General features: G+C 37.4%; 1 protein-coding gene across 5 annotated transcripts in view; it reads left to right on the top strand.

Moving 5' to 3' along the window:
* PPP1R12A (protein phosphatase 1 regulatory subunit 12A) overlaps positions 1-19751 on the top strand; it is a 161898-nt gene that overhangs the window by 5618 nt on the left and 136529 nt on the right. The window contains exon 1 of one of the 5 annotated variants that reach the window (NM_001143886.2): positions 15932-16046. The exons of the other annotated variants lie outside the window; for them this stretch is intronic. The gene's annotated coding sequence lies outside the window, so the exon portion shown is untranslated. Of the gene's footprint in view, positions 1-15931; positions 16047-19751 lie in introns of those variants that run through there. 5 annotated transcript variants of the gene reach the window in all.

The following is a 19751-nucleotide window of genomic DNA, read 5'->3' as shown; positions in this document are numbered from 1 at the left end:
AAATTAAAAACTTTGTTGTAGATTTCAATATATTTTAATATCTTGAGATTTTAAAAAAATCTTTTTTTTTTTTTGAGATGGAGTCTCATTCTGTCACCCAGGCTGGAGTGCAGTGGTGTAATCTTGGCTTACTGCAAACTCCGCCGCCCAGGTTCAAGTGATTCTCCTGCCACAGCCTCCCAAGTAGCTGGGATTACGGGTGCGTGGCACCATGCCTGGCTAATTTTTTTTGTATTTTTGGTAGAGATGGGGTTTCACCATGTTGGCCAGGCTCATTTCGAACTCCTGACCTCAAGTGATCCGCCCGTCTTGGCCTCCCAAAGTGCTAGGATTACAGGTGTGAGCCACTGTGGCCGGCCTAAAAAATTCTTAATATCGACCTCCTTTCTATTAAATTTTAAAGCAGTCTAGATATTGGTTAAGTGGTAGAAAAATATTATATCCAGTTGAGTCACTAATTAATTACTCACTTTGTAAGAGTCTGAGCTAGATCCTCTAGAGCGGGGGTTCACAAACGCTGGGCCGTGGACAGGTCGATCCACGACCTGTGAGGAACAAGGCCACACAGCAGGAGGTGAGCGACACACTGGCAAGCTAGCATTACTGCCTGAAATCCACCTCTTGTCAGATCAGCAGCGGCATTAGATTCCCATAGGAGTGCGGACCCTATTGTGAACTGCGCTTCTGAGGTATCTAGGTTGTGTGCTCTTTATGAGCATCTAATTCCTGATGATGATGTGAGGTAGAACAGTTTCATCCGGCCCCACTCCCCAACCCACATCTGTGGAAAAATTGTCATTCACAAAACTAGTTCCTGATGCCAAGGTTGGGTACCACTTCTAGAGGAATACAAAGTAGAATTAGTTCCATGTTCTATGCTATTAGAATTTTAAAATAGTTTTTCTTTTACTTTCCAAAACAGACAGACTTACAGATAGGTTTAATATGAAATCCTTTTGCTTTTAAAATACAAATTTGATCTACTTCTAAGGGAGCCATTTTAAGCATCTTTGTAAAATATGTGATCCTCTCGTCAGTAAAGGGAATACTTTTGTGTAGTCTTCTTAAGATGTGAAGTGTAAAAGAGACTGGAAGCAATTAATTTTGAGTTGCTTGTTAGCAAATAGTTTGATTACTATGTAAAATCTGAATTAAGAGTTTATAGTTTGTAACTGTTTACCCTTTTTTTGATGGAGAATGTTAAGATCTTGGAAGAACCTACTGGATAACTTTTAAAGAGCATTAAAATTTGTGTCTAAAAGAATGTGCAGTGTAAAATATTTCTCTGCATAGTTTTCTTTTTAGAAAAGCTGTAACACTTTATGCTCATGCCTTTCAAAAGTTTTTATTGAAATCATCCTAAATCCATTTTTAAAAACCTACCTAAACAAACAAATAAAACCCTCCCAACCCCAAACTGGCCCCTCACTTCCTACAAATAAGTGGGCAACCCTAGCCATATATGGGGTGTGCTGGTAGGGCACCAGTGCCCACACTGCTGCTGTTCTAATGCTTTTTCTGTAGTTGCTGCCTCTGTGCTTCCTGGCAACACTTTTGTGGTCTGACTTTGAGGTGTCATAACCAAGACCATCTTTCATGTGCCTCAGCTACAGTATGATTGCAAGCTGTGACTGAGCATTTTCTATAGCCAGGTAGAAACACTGGATGGAATAGAGGAAGTGTTTTTCATCATCCATTTGTTATTACCACATTTAAAAATTACAGTTCACATAAGAAAAGTGTTTTAAAAATCTTATTAGATGATTTTTAAAAGAAAACTATTTAAAAACCTTTTAATAGGGGGAGGCATAAAACGTTGTTTTGTTACTACCATAACATGTTACTTCTTGACACTATATGAAGTTGCTATTTTCATTGCCTCTGCCTGCAAAAAATTGCCATCTTTTACTCCACCCTTCTTTTGAAAGTTTGTGGGGCTCCACAATAAGGTTGAGAAGATGATGAGGTATTGGCATTTTGGTATACCTCTTTGAAAGGTTGAAGAACTCCAACAATTATAAGTTTATTCTCAGTTGGAGTCAGATATGTAGTAGCCATGACTTAATCAGTGTTTTATTGAGGAGCAGTGCTTTTCCAAACAATAGTTTAATTTTCACAACATGCTTTTTCACTTGCTCAAAGTTAACAAGAAAATAAATGGCAGAGCTGGAATTCTTATGCAGGTCTGTTTGATGCCGAAACTCAAACTTTACCCTATGCCAGGTATCTTCTTTGAAGTCTGAAGAAGAAAATATTCTTAAATCTTTTCATCATTATGGTGGTGTTTAGTAATTGGAGGTTTCTCTGTAAATTAGCTGAAAATCAAGTGAAACACACATATAATTTTTTTCTTCATCCACATTTGTTTTAGCTAGCCCATACTTTTAAGACCTTTCTATGGTAATTGAAGTGCAGTAGTACTGTATCTAAATTAATCTCAGAATTCGAAATTGTCCTAAATTTTAGGAAGTGCCAAGATTATTTTTGACTTACCATTATGTGCAGAATATATCAGCAGCAACAAGAAACACTCCTTTTTTCAGGACATAGAATTTAATTTTTAACTACCTTTATTTTTCTTTACCCTAATAGCAATTTATATCGTTTCAGTTGTTGGGTGTGTGTGTGGGTGTGGTGTGTGTATGTGTGTTTTGAGACAGGGTGACAGACTCTGTCACCATGGCTGGAGTGCAGTGGCATGAACATAGTTCACTGTAGCCTTCCTGGGCTCAAGTGATCCTCCCACCTCAGCCTCCCGATCAGCTGGGAATACAGGCATGTGCCACCACTTCCAGCTAATTTTTTTTTTTCTTTGACAGAGTCTCCCCGTGTTGCCCAAGCTAGTCTCAAACTTCTGGGCCCAAGTGATCCTCCCACCTCAGCCTCCCAAAGTGCTGGGATTACAGGCGTGAGCCACTGCACTTAGCCTGTTTTAGTTTTTTTTAATCATTTACAGTAAATTTTTTATACATACGTACATGTACATATTTGATTCTTTTTAGAGACAAATTGTAGGAAACTTCATACCATGGATACTGGGGGTGGGGGGGAAGAAGTCCCTTATATACCCTTAAGGTAGGGACTTTGATTCTTTTTTTCTTTAAATCTCCTTTTGTATCGGCATTTTGTTTTAGTAGGTACACAATAAATATTTAATGATTAAAAAAAATTGGACACAATGTAAACTAATATTTTGAAGAGCAGAATTCATAGAATATTAAATAATTGGGTAAGTGTAACACACTGACAAACTTTTAAAATGTCCTAATAAAAAAGCTTATATCAACCACTTACTTTTATAATACTTACAATGTAAAGGTAGCCATTATTACAATCAAAACATTTATTAGGTGGCTGGGTATGGTGGCTCACGCCTGTAGTCCTAGCACTTTGGGAGGCCTAGGCAGGCGGATCACCTGAGCTCAGGAATTTGAGATCAACCTGGCCAACATGGCAAAACCCCATCTCTACTAAAAATACAAAATAAAAATTAGCCAGGCATGGTGGCGCATGCCTGTAATCCCAGCTACTCAGGAGGCTGAGGCACGAGAATCGCCTGAACCCAAGAGGCAGAGGTTGGAGTGAACTGAGATCATGCCTCTTCACTCCAGCCTGGGCGACAGAGCGAGATTCTGTCTTAAAGAAAAAAATTATTGGGATGTTAGATTTATTTTTGAAATGAGATCTATTACTGATTATCAATAGACGCTTCAGTTTATGTAACTTAGTTTAAAAATTCTTTAAACAAATCCTTGAGTGTTCATTTAGAAAAGTAATCTCTAGGCTGGATGCAGTGGCTCACACCTGTAATCCCAGCACTTTGAGAAGCCAAGGCAAGAGACTTGATCCCAGAAGTTCAAGACCAGCCTGGGCAATATAGGGAGACGGTGTCTCTACCAATAAAGAGAAAAGAAAAGAAAGAAAAAGAAAAGAAATCTCTAGCATGGTAATATTAGAAATAATGCATATTTTCTGTTATTTTACTGATACTTTTTTTTTCCAAATAACATTTTTACTATGGCTCCCTCTATGTCAGTATTTTCTGACCTTATTAGTGTTTTGGTTGTTTATCTTTGCATTGTTATGCTGGCTAACCATAAAAAGACACGCTTGAGTTCTGTGTTACTGCCCTAAGTGTGCTTGCTGCTCAACTCAAATGCTCTTTCATGGGAGGAGACATTCCACATTGTCATGTGTTGTATAGGCATTTCTGAAATGACATTCAGTAGAAACCATGGAAAGAAGTGAAAGCATTCCTCAGCTGTCACTTTTTTAGTAGTCTATTTAAATGTTATGTATATTAAGTGAGATATTCTGCAGAGAGAGCTTCACTTAATAAAAAGCTTTACTTTAACTTGATGATTTAACTCACATTTGAGCTGAAATTACTATTTTCTTAGTTTAACATGACCTCTAACAATAAAATCATAAGATTGTACAAAGCTCATGTCATTTTCTTGAATACTGCATAGTGCAGAGGAGAATACATTTTGTGAGATGTCACTTGGCACCCTCTTAAAGATTAATAACCATGTGGGAAAGTATATTTTCATGGACTGTTACACACACACACACACACACGTACACGTATGCACTCAACCTTTACTTGTAATAAACATCCCAAATTATATATATTTTATTAGCCTTCAAAATTGTTTTAGATGGTTATAAACTTATTTGAATATTTATATTCTTGCATGGAACACTTCTAGAGCTTTTCTGTTGGAGTTTCAGCTCCAGAACATTTTTTTAAAATATCCTCAGTGTTGAGAGTTTTTTTTTCTTTCAGGAGAGTTTTTAAATTTTGAAAATGATATCATTCGAAGATGCATCTGGTGAATAAAGGTGGATCATGTAGTCATCATGGTTAATAAATATCCGTGATTACATGATATTTTCTAAAAAGCTTATTCTTAACTGGAATATGATCATAAATGTCACCTTGGATTTAAGTTAACTCTTTACGTTGTGTGGATTTGAGTATGCTTCAGAATTTGTAAACCTAAAGTACTGTTCATTTGTGTTCTAGATTTTGATGAAACAAGTCAATGTTATAGTTTGTGAACATAGTCTTTTTTGTATATGTTTGTGTTTTCTGCAAAAGATTTCGGTGCTGCCTGGCACAGTAGCTCATGCCTGTAATCCCAGCACTTTGGGAGGCCGAGGTGGGAGGATTGCTTGAGCCCAGGAGTTCAAAACTGGCTTGGGCAACAAAGTGAGACCTTGTCTCTACAAAAAATTTAAAAATTAGCTGAGCATGGCGACACGCATCTGTGGTCCCAGCTACTCAGGAGGCTGAGGCAGGAGGATTGCTTGAGCCCAGGAGGTTGGGGTTGCAGTGAGCTGTGATCACGCCACTGCATTCTAGCCTGAACGACAGAGTGAGACCAGGTCTCACATTTTAAAAAAAGGTTGTGATGCTGCTGGCTCTAGATCATGACACTATGTCATTAAGAACTATTGTTTTTCTCAAAGATATTTTAATTTCTACAGTTTTTCTTAAAAGGTTTGGACAGATGACATATTCAGCAATTTCTGTATTCCTTCCAAGTACATGGAATCTACTTAAGAACTCTGTAGCATATTCAAGATTTTTTCTTTTAAAATGCCTATTGCTGTTTAACTCTTTGAACCATCATTTTTTACAGTTAAAATGCCTTTATATTGTTGATCTTCTCAGTGTTTTCCATTATTTTTTGATATACATGAAAATTTAATAAGTAATTATTAAGTCTTCAGTGTCTTGCTTTTATATGGGTCATCCCCATCTCCTTTTTTTTAAATTTTATTTTATTTTTTGAGACGGAGTCTTGCTCTGTCTCCCAGGCTAGAGTGCAATGGCACAATCTCGGCTCACTGCAAACGCCGCCTCCCAGGTTCAAGTGATTCTCCTGCCTCAGCCTCCCGAGTAGCTGGGATTACAGGCGTCCACCACCACGCCCGGCTAATTTTTCTTATTTTTAGTAGAGACTGGGTTTCACCATGTTGGCCAGACCGGTCTCAAACTCCTGACCTCAGGTGATCCACTCGCCTCAGCCTCCCAAAGTGCTGCGATTACAGGCGTGAGCCACCGTGCCTGGCCTCTCCTTTTTATTTTTAAACATGGCTTACTTTTGTATGTTTAATGTTGTATGTGAATTTTATCCCAAATAAAAATAGTTGTAAAAGTTTAAGAATAATTATTTAATTAAAACACTAAAGACAAATGTAAAAAATAAAATGTTATCCAAAATTTCGGGACTGGACTTTGCTCCATTTAAAAGTTTAACATCCTTTTAAATATCTCTGTACAAGTATGTAATTTTCTATAAATGGGGTCATACCTAATTTTCTGGTTTATAACCAGTTTTGAAACATTATGTATTTTAAGAAACATTTCTGTGTTAAAGAATATTCATATACATTTTCCCTTTTAATGAGTGTATCGTATTCCATTGTGTGTGCATGTGCATATACATCTTGGAATTTATTTTCCTAGTCCTTTCCTGATGAACATTTAGTATATTTTCCACTTTTTATCATATGGTGAATATTATGTACATCTTATTTATTTATTTATTTATTTTTTTGAGACGAAGTCTCCCTCAGCAGCTCAGGCTGGAGTGCAGGGGCGTGATCTCGGCTGACTGCAACTACCGTCTCCTGGGTTCAAGCGATTGTCCCATCTCAGCCTCCCGAGTAGCTGGGATTACAGGCACCCGCCATCATGCCCGGCTAATTTTTGTATTTTAGTAAAGATGGGGTTTCACCATGTTGGCCAGGCTGGTCTTGAACTCCTGACCTCAGGTGATCTACCCACCTCGGGCTCCCAAAGTGCTAGGATTACAGGTGTGAGCCATCGCACCTGGCCTATACCATGTACATTTTTACTCGCTCATCACATTGTATTCCTTAGGATTGTTCCTTAGAAATCTTATCTGCAATCTTATGTTTTGCTCAAAATAACATGCCATTTAAATGATTGTTTATACAAAATACTTTTTAAAAAATTTTTTACTTTTAAGTTCTGGTATACATGTGCAGAACGTGCAGGTGTGTTACATGGGTATACTTATGCTATGGTAGTTTGCTGCACTTACCGACTCATATCTAGGTTTTAAGCCCTGCATGCATTAGGTATTTGTCCTAATGCTCTCCCTACCCTTGCCCCTGAGCCCCCGACAGGCCCCAGTGTGTGATGGTCCTCCCTGTGTCCATGTGTTCTCATTGTTCAACTTCCACTTATGAGTGAGAACCTGAGGTGTTTGGTTTTCTGTTCCTGTATTAGTTTGCTGAGAATGATGGCTTCCAGCTTCATCCATGTCCCTGCAAAGGACATGAACTCATTCTTTTTTATGACTGTATTCCATGGTGTGTATGTGCTACATTTTCTTTATCCAGTTCATCATTGATGGGGATTTGGGTTAGTTCTAAGTCTGCAAAAGGCATTTTTAATAAAGTTTCTAGTATATTGAAAATGGAAAACTAACCGTGAAAGTACTCATGTTGACACATCTGTTAAATTGATGCGATAATGTTATCCCCTATATGTCACCCACAGGCAGATTTTTGTTTTATTTATTGTTTTTTTTGTTTTGTTTTGAGATGGGGTCTTGCTCTGTTACCCAGGCTGGGAGTGCAGTGGTGTGAACACAGCTCACTGCAGCTTCGACTGCCTGGCCTTAGTGATTCTCCCACCTCAGCCTTTTGAGTAGCTGAGACTACAGGCGTGTGCCCACCACAACTGGCTGACTTTTAAAATCATTATTATTAGTAGTAGAGACAAGGTTTTGCTGTGTTGCCCAGGCTGGTTTCAAACTCCTGGGCTCAAGCAATCCTCCTGCCTTGGCATCCCAAAGTGCTTGGATTACAGCCATGCACTACCATGCCTGGCTGAGGAAAATTGTTTTATTGCTTTATTACTCTGTGTGTGTGTGTTTGTGAGAATAAAATTAGTTGTATTTCACTCAGAGAAGCAATTGGGGAAGACAAGGTAAAAAGTGTTCTTCCTTTTTTCTTTATGTAAGGTTTAGTTCTAATGTTTGAAAATTTTGAAGTTATTAAAATATTAAACAATATCTGTATTCATTTATATGATGCTGTTATTCATTTAAATTAGTGAATAACTCATTCATGCAAGAAACATAGAGAGATCACCATTTATCATATGTCCAGCACAGTACTAATCTCTAAAAACAGTGGTCCCTGGCTACATGTAGTATACAATCTAGTTGAGGTGGCAGCATGAGCCGATGATTACAATGTAAATAAGTGGTAGAGTAGAGATACAAGGTGAAATTAAAGGCTTTATTAGGCGGGCTTAACCCAGAGTATCAATGGAAGACATCCCTGAGAAAGCTCTGTAAGTTATAGGTAACTTATCAGCAGATGTTTTGAGCCTTTTATGACCCTATTCACTACTGGTTTGTCTTCTGAATGTACCTGTTTAGTGTACCTTTTTGTCAGTTTCTTTCTTGAAGATGAATGTTGCCAAGGTTCTCATATGTCTATTATTCTTTTTTGTGTTATTTATGTAGTTTCAACTTTCTTTTTATATGATCTGTCCTCCTTCTTACATGATCCATATCTTATTTTTTATATCAGTCTTCCATTTACTAAGCTAGAATCTCAGGGTCTTTTTCTGTTTTCTCCTCACTTGCATACAGTACATCTCCTCTACCATGCACACACCTAAAAAAAAATCATCTTTTGTATATTCATTTAACATATATTAAAGGTCTCTTCTGTGCCAGACACTACTAAGTGCTGAGAAGACACATTTTTGAGCAAAAATATACCAACAGTACCCTCATAGAGTCGACAGTAAAATGAAATTAGCCATTTGGGAAATGCAAATCAAACCCACAATGAGATACTAGTTCACACCTACTAGGATGGCTTTAATAAAAAAGAGAACAAGTAATGACTAGGATGTTGTATTAGTCCTGTTTTCTTTTGCTTATAACGGAATACCAGAAACTGGATTATTTAAAAAGATTTACTTATTACAGCTATGGCGGCTAAGAAGTCCAAGGTTGTAGGGTCAACTCTGGTGAGAGCCTTCTTGCCTGTTGGGGACTCTGTAGAGTCCTGAGGCAGCACAGGGTATCACATGGTGAGGGGGCCGAGTGTGATAACGTGCTCAAGGTCTTTCTTCCTCTTCTTAGAAAGCCACAAGTTCCACTCCCATGATAACCCATTAATTCATTAACCCTTTAATCCATGAGTGGATTAATCCATTTATGAGAGAAGAGCCCTCCTGATGCAGTCACCTCCCAAAGTCCCCAGCTATCAACAGTGCCACATTAGGGATCAGGTTTCAGCATGAGTTTTGGGAGGGATATTTAAATCACAGCAGATATGGAGAAATTGGAACCCTCATGCACTGCTGGTGGTAATAGTAAGATGGTATAGCCACTTTCAAAACAGTCTGGCATTTTCTCAAAAGGTTAAACAGAGTTACCGTATGACCCAGCAGTTCTACTCTTAGGTGTATACTCAAGAGAATTGAACATGTGTCCACACAGAAATGTGTATAGTAATGTTCATGGCAGCATTATTGATGATAGCCAAAGATGAAAACACAAATGTCTTATCAGCTGATGAATAAAGTGATATGTTTTGTCCCTGGAATCAGCGGAATATTATTCAGTAGCAAAAAGGGGATGCTGATAATTGCTACAAAGATGAATCTTAAACATGCTAAGTGAAAGAAGCCAGTCACAAAAGACCACATGGTGTATGATTCCATTTATATGAAATGTCCAGAATAGGCAAATCTGTGTATGAAGCAAGAAGGCAGATAAATGGTTGCCAGAAACTAGAGGTGTTGAGGGGAGTTGGTGAATAACTGCTAATGGGTACAACTTTTTAGGGTGACAAAAATGTAAAATTGTGCTGACAGTTGCACAACTCTGTGAATCTGTTTATTTGTACACTTTAAATGGGTTATTTTATGGTATGTGAATGGTATCTCAAACATTTAAAAAAGTGAACGTATATATTTATCAGTGTTTACTACTAAAAATTGAGGCACTGACAGAGCCAGAGTAATTATCTTCTATCAGTCCCCCAGCCTCAGCCTAGGCTTGGTATTAGTCACTATAATTATGATGGTGAACAGAACAGCCAGACATTGCCCCTGCCCTAACACAGCTTGTAGTCTACTGGAGTGTATAGATAATACACAGACAATTATAAATTTACATCAGTTATGTGTAATGATATGTAATGGTAATACAGTATGGAAGCTTATGAAGGCATATTTCACCTAGATTGGGGGAGGGGAGAAGACTTTTTTTTTTTTTTTGAGATGGAGTCTCACTCTGTTGCCCAGGCTGCAGTGCAGTGGCGTGATTTCAGCTCACTGCAACTTCCACCTCCCAGGTTCAAGCAATTCTCTTGCCTCAGCCTCCTGAGTAGCTGAGATTACAGGCATGCACCACCATGCCTGGCTAATTTTTGTATTTTTAGTAGAGATGGGGTTTCACCATGTTGGTCAGGCTGGTCTTGAACTCCTGACCTCGTGATCCGCCCGCCTCAGCTTCCCAAAGTGCTGGGATTACAGGTGTGAGCCACCGCGCCCGGCTGAGAAGACTTTCTGGATAAAGTTGATGTTTGAGCTGCTCAGCGATGAGTAAATGTTAGCCAAGGTTGTTAGGGAGGGAAGATTATGGGAAACTATTTCAGAGAGAGGGAAAATAGCATGTGTAAAGATCTGGAAGTGCACAGAAGTGCTGAAGGATTTTTTTTTTTAAGACAAGAGTCTTGCTCTGTCTGGAGTACAGTGGCGTGATCTCAGCTCACTGCCACCTCTGCCTCCCCGGTTCAAGTGATTCTCCCACCTCAGCCTCCTGAGTAGCTGGGATTACAGGCGCATGCCACCACGCCTAGCTAATTTTTGTATTTTTAGTAGAGACGGGGTTTCGCCGTGTTGGCCAGGCTGGTCTCAAACTCCTGACCTCAAGTAATCTGCCCGCCTTGGCCTCCCAAAGTGCTGGGATTACAGGCGTGAGCCACTGCACCTGGCCAGTTGAAGGATTTTAATCAGGTTAAATGGACAACCAATTTTTCTTTTTTAAGAAAAATCACTTTTGGCTGCAGTGTGGACAAGGCACTGAAAAGAGAGGACAAAGCTGAAGGTAGAGAGACATTTGAGGAAGTTGGGTAGTCTGAGAGAGATGACTATGAGATGAACTAGCTTAGCGGCAGGAGGGTTGGAAAATAGTAGATGGACTTAAAATATATTTATGAAATAGAATTGGTAGGAATTGGAGGTGGATTGGCTTGAGGGATTATTTAAAGATGTGCATGCACCTGTTTTCTGGCTTGGACAACTAGATGATGAAGGTGCTTTTCACAGCATGCAGTAAATATTGTGTGCTTACTGTATAGGTCAGCAGCAGAGTATTGATATTGCAGAATGATACTGGAGGAGACAGTCAAGTAAACAAGAAATGAAAATCAAGTGTAAAATGTACACTATAGGCTATCTGTACAGGATGTTGTGCACACATGGAGGAGGGGTGGCCTAACTATAACTAATACATGGAGATCATGCTTGGAGTGTGGTTTTTTCCTTGGATTTAGTCTGTTCTCTTACTTGCCTCTGATTCCCTGGAAATGTGAAAACCAAGTAGAAAACAATTTATGAACATACAGAAAAAACGCAGGATACAGATTCGTGATTATGTTTTTTTTTTTTTAAGGTTTCAGTGAACTGCCTAAAAATATATGCAAAATTTTGTTTTTCTGTACTTTTCAGTTCAGAAGAATTAGTAAAGAATTTCTAAGTAAAGCCAAATTTACTTTTATGATATTATGTATGTGGCAGAGGTGTATGGGGAGGAGTGGATCACAGAACTGTTGGAGAGGAATAAAGGAGTGGTAGTAGTAACGATCTACAAGTCTTTTATTGACTGAAATAGTATGCTATGAAAATAAAGTCACAGGTTAAGATAGGTGAGAGTACATTTTCTCAGAGCATGTTGGATTTTTCTAATTGTATAGTGAAAGAATTTTAACAATCTCTAACTTCTCTCAGTTTCTAAATTTACTAAATGGTATTTTTCAGGGAAAATAAAGGTAAAATATTAGTTACAACTAAGAAACCTAACACCTTTATACACTTTTTATGTCTAATAGATTTAATGTTTTTTCTTTTTTGCTCAAAATATTACAGGACTTGCTTTGAGTATTTGATTGAGGGTTTTTTGCATGTTTTAATATTTTTAAAAGTTGCAGTTAATGAGGAAAGTAGTAGTGTACAGAAAGGTTGGGTTATTTTGACTTTGAGTAAGCATCAGCAGATTTGTTTCAGCTTAAATGAAATAGGACATAATTGTTATATATTAAACTCTTTTTTTTTTTTTTTTTTTTTTGAGACAGAGTCTCGCTCCGTCACCAGGCTGGAGTGCAGTGGCACGATCTCGGCTCACTGCAACCTCCGCTTCCCAGGTTCAAGCAATTCTCCTGCCTCAGCCTCCCGAGTAGCTGGGATTATAGGCACGTGCCACCACGCCCAGCTATTTTTTCTATTTTTAGTAGAGATGGGGTTTCACCATGTTGGTCAGGCTGGTCTCGATCTCGTGACCTCGTGATCCACCCGCCTCGGCCTCCCAAAGTGCTGGGATTACAGGCATGAGCCACTGTGCCCGGCCTAAACTCTTAACTCTGTATAACATGGCATCTTTTTCCCTTTTCAACCCATCCTTGACATTTAGAGCCAGTCTTTATATGTGGGAATACTATATAAGTTTTTCTCGCTTTAAAAACACTCAAATGTAAAAAATGTTAATTGCAGGACAGTATGTATGGTATGAGCCCTTTGGGGGGTTATTTACATAGGGAAAAAATCTGGTAAAGTACCTCAACTGTTAACAGTGGTTGTCTCTGGGAGGGAAATACAGATTTTGAATTATGTTACTTTTGGATCTTTTACAACAAGCAGAAAAAAAAAAAGAAAAATCTCAATTGGAGAAAAATGCCTAAATGGCTATTCCCAGTAATATTTTATGGATTAAATATAGAAACATTGATATAACTAATGAATTTTAGTTTGCTAGTGTTTGGCCACTCAAAGAAGCTGGTGTTGATGGTTCAGTATTTATTTCTGTATTATACTTGCCTTTTCTCTGAACCTTTTATTTCATGAGGAATGACTGCTTGACGATGTGATGAACACCTTGGGAGAGTATTCTAAGCAAATAATGGAATTCTGGATATGGTTAGATGTATTTTGTAGCTTTTTGCAAGTGGACTACAGAAAGTTCAGAGAAAAGCTAAGTATAATTACCAAAAAGGCAAGTCATTTTTGAAGGACAAAGGGGTTTTAAAGGATAAAATTTGGGTTTTAGAATTTTAAACAATCCAATAGGAGATAATGTGAAGAAAGAATTAGAAAAGCAGTTTTATACAGTATGCTCTTTTGCCCCATTCTTTATGAATGTATAAAGCATTTGTCGATGAATATCTGTCTTAAGAATGAATTGAAAAAACAGCCCCAAGTCTCTTAGAATTAGGAATGTTGAAGCCCATAGTTACGTGAATTTTGTGAAAATATTTTTGAAGGCAGTGAAAAGAGGACTTTTAAAATTTATAAACCAGAACAAGAATAGGAAGATGGAAGGCAACTGATGGAATGGCTTTTAATTTACATACACATTTGTTGTTTATAGGTACATTTGTTGTTTATAGGTACATTTGTTGTTTATAGGTACATTTGTTTAAAATGGTCTTCTACTCTACACTGGCAAAATTCTAATATCCACTATTAAACAGATAGTTCTGGAAGAGACTGTGTTGAACACTAGATGTCAATTTGAGTTTTCTGAAAACAAGTTATGTTGACCTATCTTTACTTCCTTTTTGGTCAAGGTTTAGAAACATAACTGGGGGAAATGTTGCAAACAGTATAGCTTGATTTTTTTTGTAAAGCACATGGAAAGGCTCTTGTTATGTCTTTACGGTTAACATGACAAAAATTTGGCGTGAATATTATCAGGATTAGGCTCACTAATAGCTGGGTGAACTACTGTATACATGTCAGCCTGCTGATTGATCACTCAGTGTCAACCCAAAGGGAAGACTAACATAGTGGTCCTTGTGTTCTTAATCTTGACCCTATCCTGTGTAACGTTTAAGCAGATAAAGTTGTAGGAGCTGAGAGAGAACTTCAAAAAGCATAAAATAGTGGGTTTTAAATAATAAGATGAAAAGATAATGGGTATTAATTTAAAATTCCACATTAAAAATGGATGAGTGTAGGTTGGTAGAGATCATTTTTGACAGACATATGAGAAGTAAGTCATTGGAAGTTTAACAGCAAGCCTGGTGTCTGACAACAGTATAATAATTTTTAAATATACCAATTTAATGTAAAGCAAAAATAGTGTTAAGCCTAGATTTAAAAAAAAAATCTATTCTGCATTGTAAGATCACATCTGTAGAATGTGTCTAGGTTTTTAGATTTGTTTGCTGTTCAGCAGATCTTAGCAATGACCTGCCAAGGGAATGGCTTCATATAACAAAGTTAGTTCTACAGAGAAAAACAAACCTGTGTTCCAATTTCTTTTTCTAGAATTGTTAACAAATTTATACATAAACATGCATACATTCTCACACATAAGCAAGCACACGTACTTCACAGTATAGTAATTGGAGTCTTAAAATGCCCTAAGATTCCCAGAACTCCATCAACTCAATTATTTTCTTATGAGCCCCTTGAAAAACAAAAAGGAATCAATTTTCAAAGCCGCATACTTACCTACAGTGTTAGACCAACCTCTAGTAGGAAAATGGTAGAAGGATTTTGTGCATATATTAGTTAGGAGTCTTGGTTGTAAGTAAGAAAAGCCCATTGGAACCGGCCTAAATAATTTATAAGATTATAGTATCTCATAGAACTGGGGCTTCTGGAATGAATTAGAATCAGGTACTATATGCAACTCAAGAAGTTCTCTAAGTTTCTCATTATTGTTTCTAACAAATCCAGATTTTTTTTTTTAATAGAAAACCAGATTTTTTGTTTTCCCAGTTTAAAAAGGCAGAAAATAAGGTCACTTCCAGAGTTTACATTCTGGTCTAGTTATCTAGAGAGATTTATCTCCTCCTGAGTTCTAATTCCAGATTTCCAGGAAAGGGACCAAATGATCCATCTCAGGTTATTCATGTATCATACAAGGTCATCAATGGTGGCTGATGGGGCTGAACCCCTCTGAAAAAACATGCCTACTCTAACTGTAATCATGTATTTTGAGGAGATGATGGGGACATAAAGCTGGAAATAATAAGCGAGTTCAGAAAGATGCCAATATTGATTGTATAAATGTACAGTCTGTACAAATAAAAAAGTACAAACAAATGTTAAAGAAATTTTAAATCAGCAGTTATCAGACTTTTTGGTTTTAGGACCCCCTTTATAATATTAAAAATCAAGGACACACTAGCCAAATAAATAAAACTGGGTAAATATGAATATCAGTATATTATATCAATGTTAATATTCTGATTATATTATATTATAGTTTTGCAAAGTTTTACCATTAGAAACTAGACAAAGGGATATCTTGGTATTACTTCTTACAACTTCATGTGAATGCACATGACTGCAATAAAATACCATTTTGAATTTTTTGTCTGTTATTATTTTAATGCTAAAAAAAAATTGAGGAACCCAAAGAGGTTTTTGTTTATGTTGGCTGTCTGTATTTACCAAATTAGAAAATAAAGTTGAAAAAACTTTTAAATATTTATTTTAAAATAATAACCCATTACATTCCAACATAAATATTATGCTTATGAAAAATAGATGTATTTTACGAAACAAAAAGAGTGGCATCGTTTTACATTTTTGGAAATTTTTTTAAATGTCTTAATTAAGACAGCTGAATTCTCATATCCACTTCTGCATCTAGCCTATTGTGATGTCACATACAAGCTCCTGGAAAACTCCATCATATGCTTGTAAGAGAATGAGAGTATTAACCTTGTAGACTTCTGTAAGGGGCTAAGAGAAACACTGAGCTAAATAATTGAGGGGATATACTATGTTCATGGCTTGAAAGACTGTAAGTATTGTAAAGATGTTCTTCCGAAACCAATCACAGATTTAATACAAGTCCAAACAAAATCCCAGATATGTGTGCATTGTCTGTTTGTGTATGCATGTGTGAAAAATGGTAAATTGATATAAAGATGAAAAAGACCAGGCACAGCCAAGTCAATCTTTAGGAACAAGAAAGTGAGAGGACTGACCGACTCTGATGGACATTAAGACTTATAAAGCCACAATAATTAAGACAATGTGGTGTTAGTGCAAAATTAGACAACAAACTAATGAATCAGAATAGAGTGTGGAAAAAGATCCAGACAGATATGGACACTTGATTTATGATAAAGGTGGCATTTCAGAAAAGTGGGGAAAAGAGAGTCTTGTCAACCTGTCTATATGGGGAAAAAGTTCATCTTCATCTCCCCCGTACCTTATACCATACACAAAAATAAATTCCAGTTGGATTGTAGATCTAAATGTGAAATACAAAAGTAATAGATACTCTGGAAGGTAACTATGAGAATATCTTCATAACCTTCGGGTAGGGAAAAGATTTTTAAACAGGACACAAAAAGATTATTACCCATAAAGGAAAAGATTGTGTGTGCATATGCGTGTGCACATGTGTGTTTTAAACAACAAAATACACAGATGCATCACAAAAGAAAATATTCTATTGGTAATAAACATACAAAAAGTTATTCAATCTCATTCACCAGAGAAATGCAAATTAAGAGCACAATAGATATCAGCACATACCACTGGAATGGCTAAAATTACAAAAGACTGATGATATCAAATGCTGAGAAGGGATGTGGAGAAACGAGAATTCTCATACACTGCTAGTGTAAGAAGTATGTGAGATTTCTAATGTATTCAAATATATTTAAAATTTGTTTATCTCTTGCTTGGTTGTACTTATGCAGTAGCAATGGAAACGTACTCTATGGATTAACATACATTTTAAAGCTAAAATTCCACAGGAGATTGTTGAAGGTTTTTGTTAAAGTGATTGGTTATAAAAATGTTTATAGTTGATAGGGATTCTCTTATTATGATTAGGTGATAATTATATTATCAGAGATTCATTAATTTTATTTCTTCTTTTTTTTTTTTTTTTAAATCAGGCTTTCCTCTGTCACCCAGGCTAGAGTGCAATGGCACAATCACGGCTCACTGCAGCCTTGACCTCCTGAGCTCAAGCAATCCTCCCACCTCAGCCACCTGAGTAGTTGGGACTGCAGGTGCATGCTATCATGCCCAGCTAACTGTTTTTTATTTTTTTGTAGTTGGGGGTCTCGCTATGTTGCCCAGGCTGTTCTTGAACTCCTGGGCTCAAGCGATCCTCCCGCCTTGGCCTTCCAAAGTGTGGGGATTACCAGTGTGAGTCACCATGCCTGGCAGTGTTTCATTAATTTAAAAAATGTTTGCCTGCCTTGTGTGTGCCGGTCATAATACTGGGAGCTAAGGAATACAGAGATTAGCAAAACAAGACCCTCTTCTCATTAAATGTATCAATGCAAGTTGTATTAAGTATTTTGAAGGAAAAATATAAAGTGTTATACAAGAACAGAAGGTTTTGAGAGTTTGGATGGAGTCTGTGAAAGTCATGATTGAAGTGAGAACTGAAAGACCAGTAGTTGTAACTTGGTAAAGAGTTGATGGTCGAGGGTGGAGAGATAGATTCTTGGTGAAAGGTGGAGAAATAGGTTCTGGTCAGAGCAAAGCCCTTTGGAGAAAGCATGCTCAGCAGAGGAACTAGAAGGCCAGTGTGACTGGAGCACAGGGGGTGAGAAGAATGGTATAGCAAACAGTATAGAGATAGGTTGAGGTCAGATCTAGGAGGATCCAGGAGACCTTGATAAGCTCATTTTCACACTAGAACCCTAGAAATGCATTAAAGTGTTTTAATTGCTTTAGTGCTAATCAGATTTGCATTTTTAAGAGACGGCTGCTGGCTGTAGAACAGATTGGGTGGGGGGAATCGGAGGTGGAGAGGAGAGTTGTGCCTGGAGGCCAGTTCCAGAGGCTGATACGGGAGTAGAGGCAAGAGCTCTTTCTCAGATGGCTTTTCAGTCGAAAGCTGGTGCTTTACAAGATGTTAAAAGGCATGCTAAGTAAAAAAAAAAAATTATGATATGTTTGGGAGATGCTCCATTAAACAAGGTAAAACAGATATTTTGCTAGAATTTTTAAGTCTTAAAAAAAAACCTTTTATTTCAGGTTTCAGGGTACATGAGCAGGTTTGTTATATAGTTAAACTGCGTGTCATGGGGGTTTGGTGTACAGATTATTTTGTCACCCAGGTAATAAGCTAGTACTCAATGGTATTTTTTCTGATCTTCTCCCTTCTCCCACCCTCCACCCTCAGGTAGGCCCCAGTGTCTGTTGTTGCCCTATTTGTATCCATGTGTTTTTGTTGTTTAGCTTCCACTTATGAGAACATGCAGTATTTGGTTTGCTGTTCCTGTGTTAGTTCGCTTAGGATAAAATGCACTGAAGAGGAGAGAGGCTGAGGAAGGAGCTGAAGCCGAGTGATAGAAATGGAATCTCAGGGTGTTGCGCCTGGAGGGTTGTTGGTTTTAGGAAATGGAGAAAAGGTGTCTGAAAAAAGAGTGGGAGGATGGATTGTAGCAAGCCTGAAAGTGTAAACTTAATTCATAAATTGTGAATTTCTAACAGTAGATTAAATGAACTAAGGGCTACTGCAGAAAGATTAATTTGGTAGTAGGGGTAAATAGGTTAGGACATGGCTGCTAGCAACCTATTTCAGTAGTTCACCGTAGAGATAAAAATATCCCTTCCATTCTCTCTGATTTTGTTTGATGCTGTAAGTGTTCTATTTACTGAAGAAGTTATGGGGGTTTTTTGGTCAGTGATTTATATTGATCTTCAGAATTCTGTGCTTAAGTTTCAAGTGATTTGTGTTAGAAATTAAGAAGTTAGGGCTTTTTACTTTCCACTTTCCCTTTTCAAATCAGTAATACTAACTTTTTTAGCCACTAGCTATATTCTGTATTTTAATAGCTACATATACTTAACACTAAACTAGTAAATTACTAAATGATTTGAACTGTTAGTATTCATCTTTGTGTTATGACTAGCCTTTGAAATTAGATGTGTTTATGTGTGTTTGTTTACATATATACATGCATGTTCGAATAATGCATTAACTTTAAGGAGTGAAATCATAGTAGAATAAACTAGATTTAAAACATTTTAATTTTACATAGCTCTTATAAGATTGGAAAAGTTTTTTTTTTTAAGAATAAAGTCATGGGGATTATACTTTGAAGTATACTTTTTAAGGTTCTATTTATTTATTTATTTATTTATTTATTTGACGGAGTCGTGCTCTGTTGCCCAGGCAGTGGCGCCGTCTCGGCTCACTGCAACCTCCCACCTCCCAGGTTCAAGCAATTCTTGTGCCTCAGCCTCCCGAGTAGCTGGGATTACAAGCGCCTAGCACCAAGCCCCGCTAATTTTTGTATTTTTAGTGGAGACAAGGTTTCTCCATGTTGGCCAGGCTGGTTTCGAAGTCCTGACCTCAGGTGATCCTCCCACCTCATCCTCCTAAAGTGCTGGGATTACAGGCATGAGCCACTGTGCCTGGTTTTAAGGTTCATTTTAATTAGATATTGTAGTTATCCCATCCCATTATGTTTGAATTAGGTCTTTTAGACTAATTCAGATTGGCTCTTTTCTCATCCAGTAAACTGCT

The sequence above is a fragment of the Homo sapiens genome, chromosome 12, assembly GCF_000001405.40.
Source record: "Homo sapiens chromosome 12, GRCh38.p14 Primary Assembly".
Lineage (NCBI taxonomy): Eukaryota > Metazoa > Chordata > Mammalia > Primates > Hominidae > Homo > Homo sapiens.
This window is presented reverse-complemented; position numbering and strand designations above follow the sequence as displayed.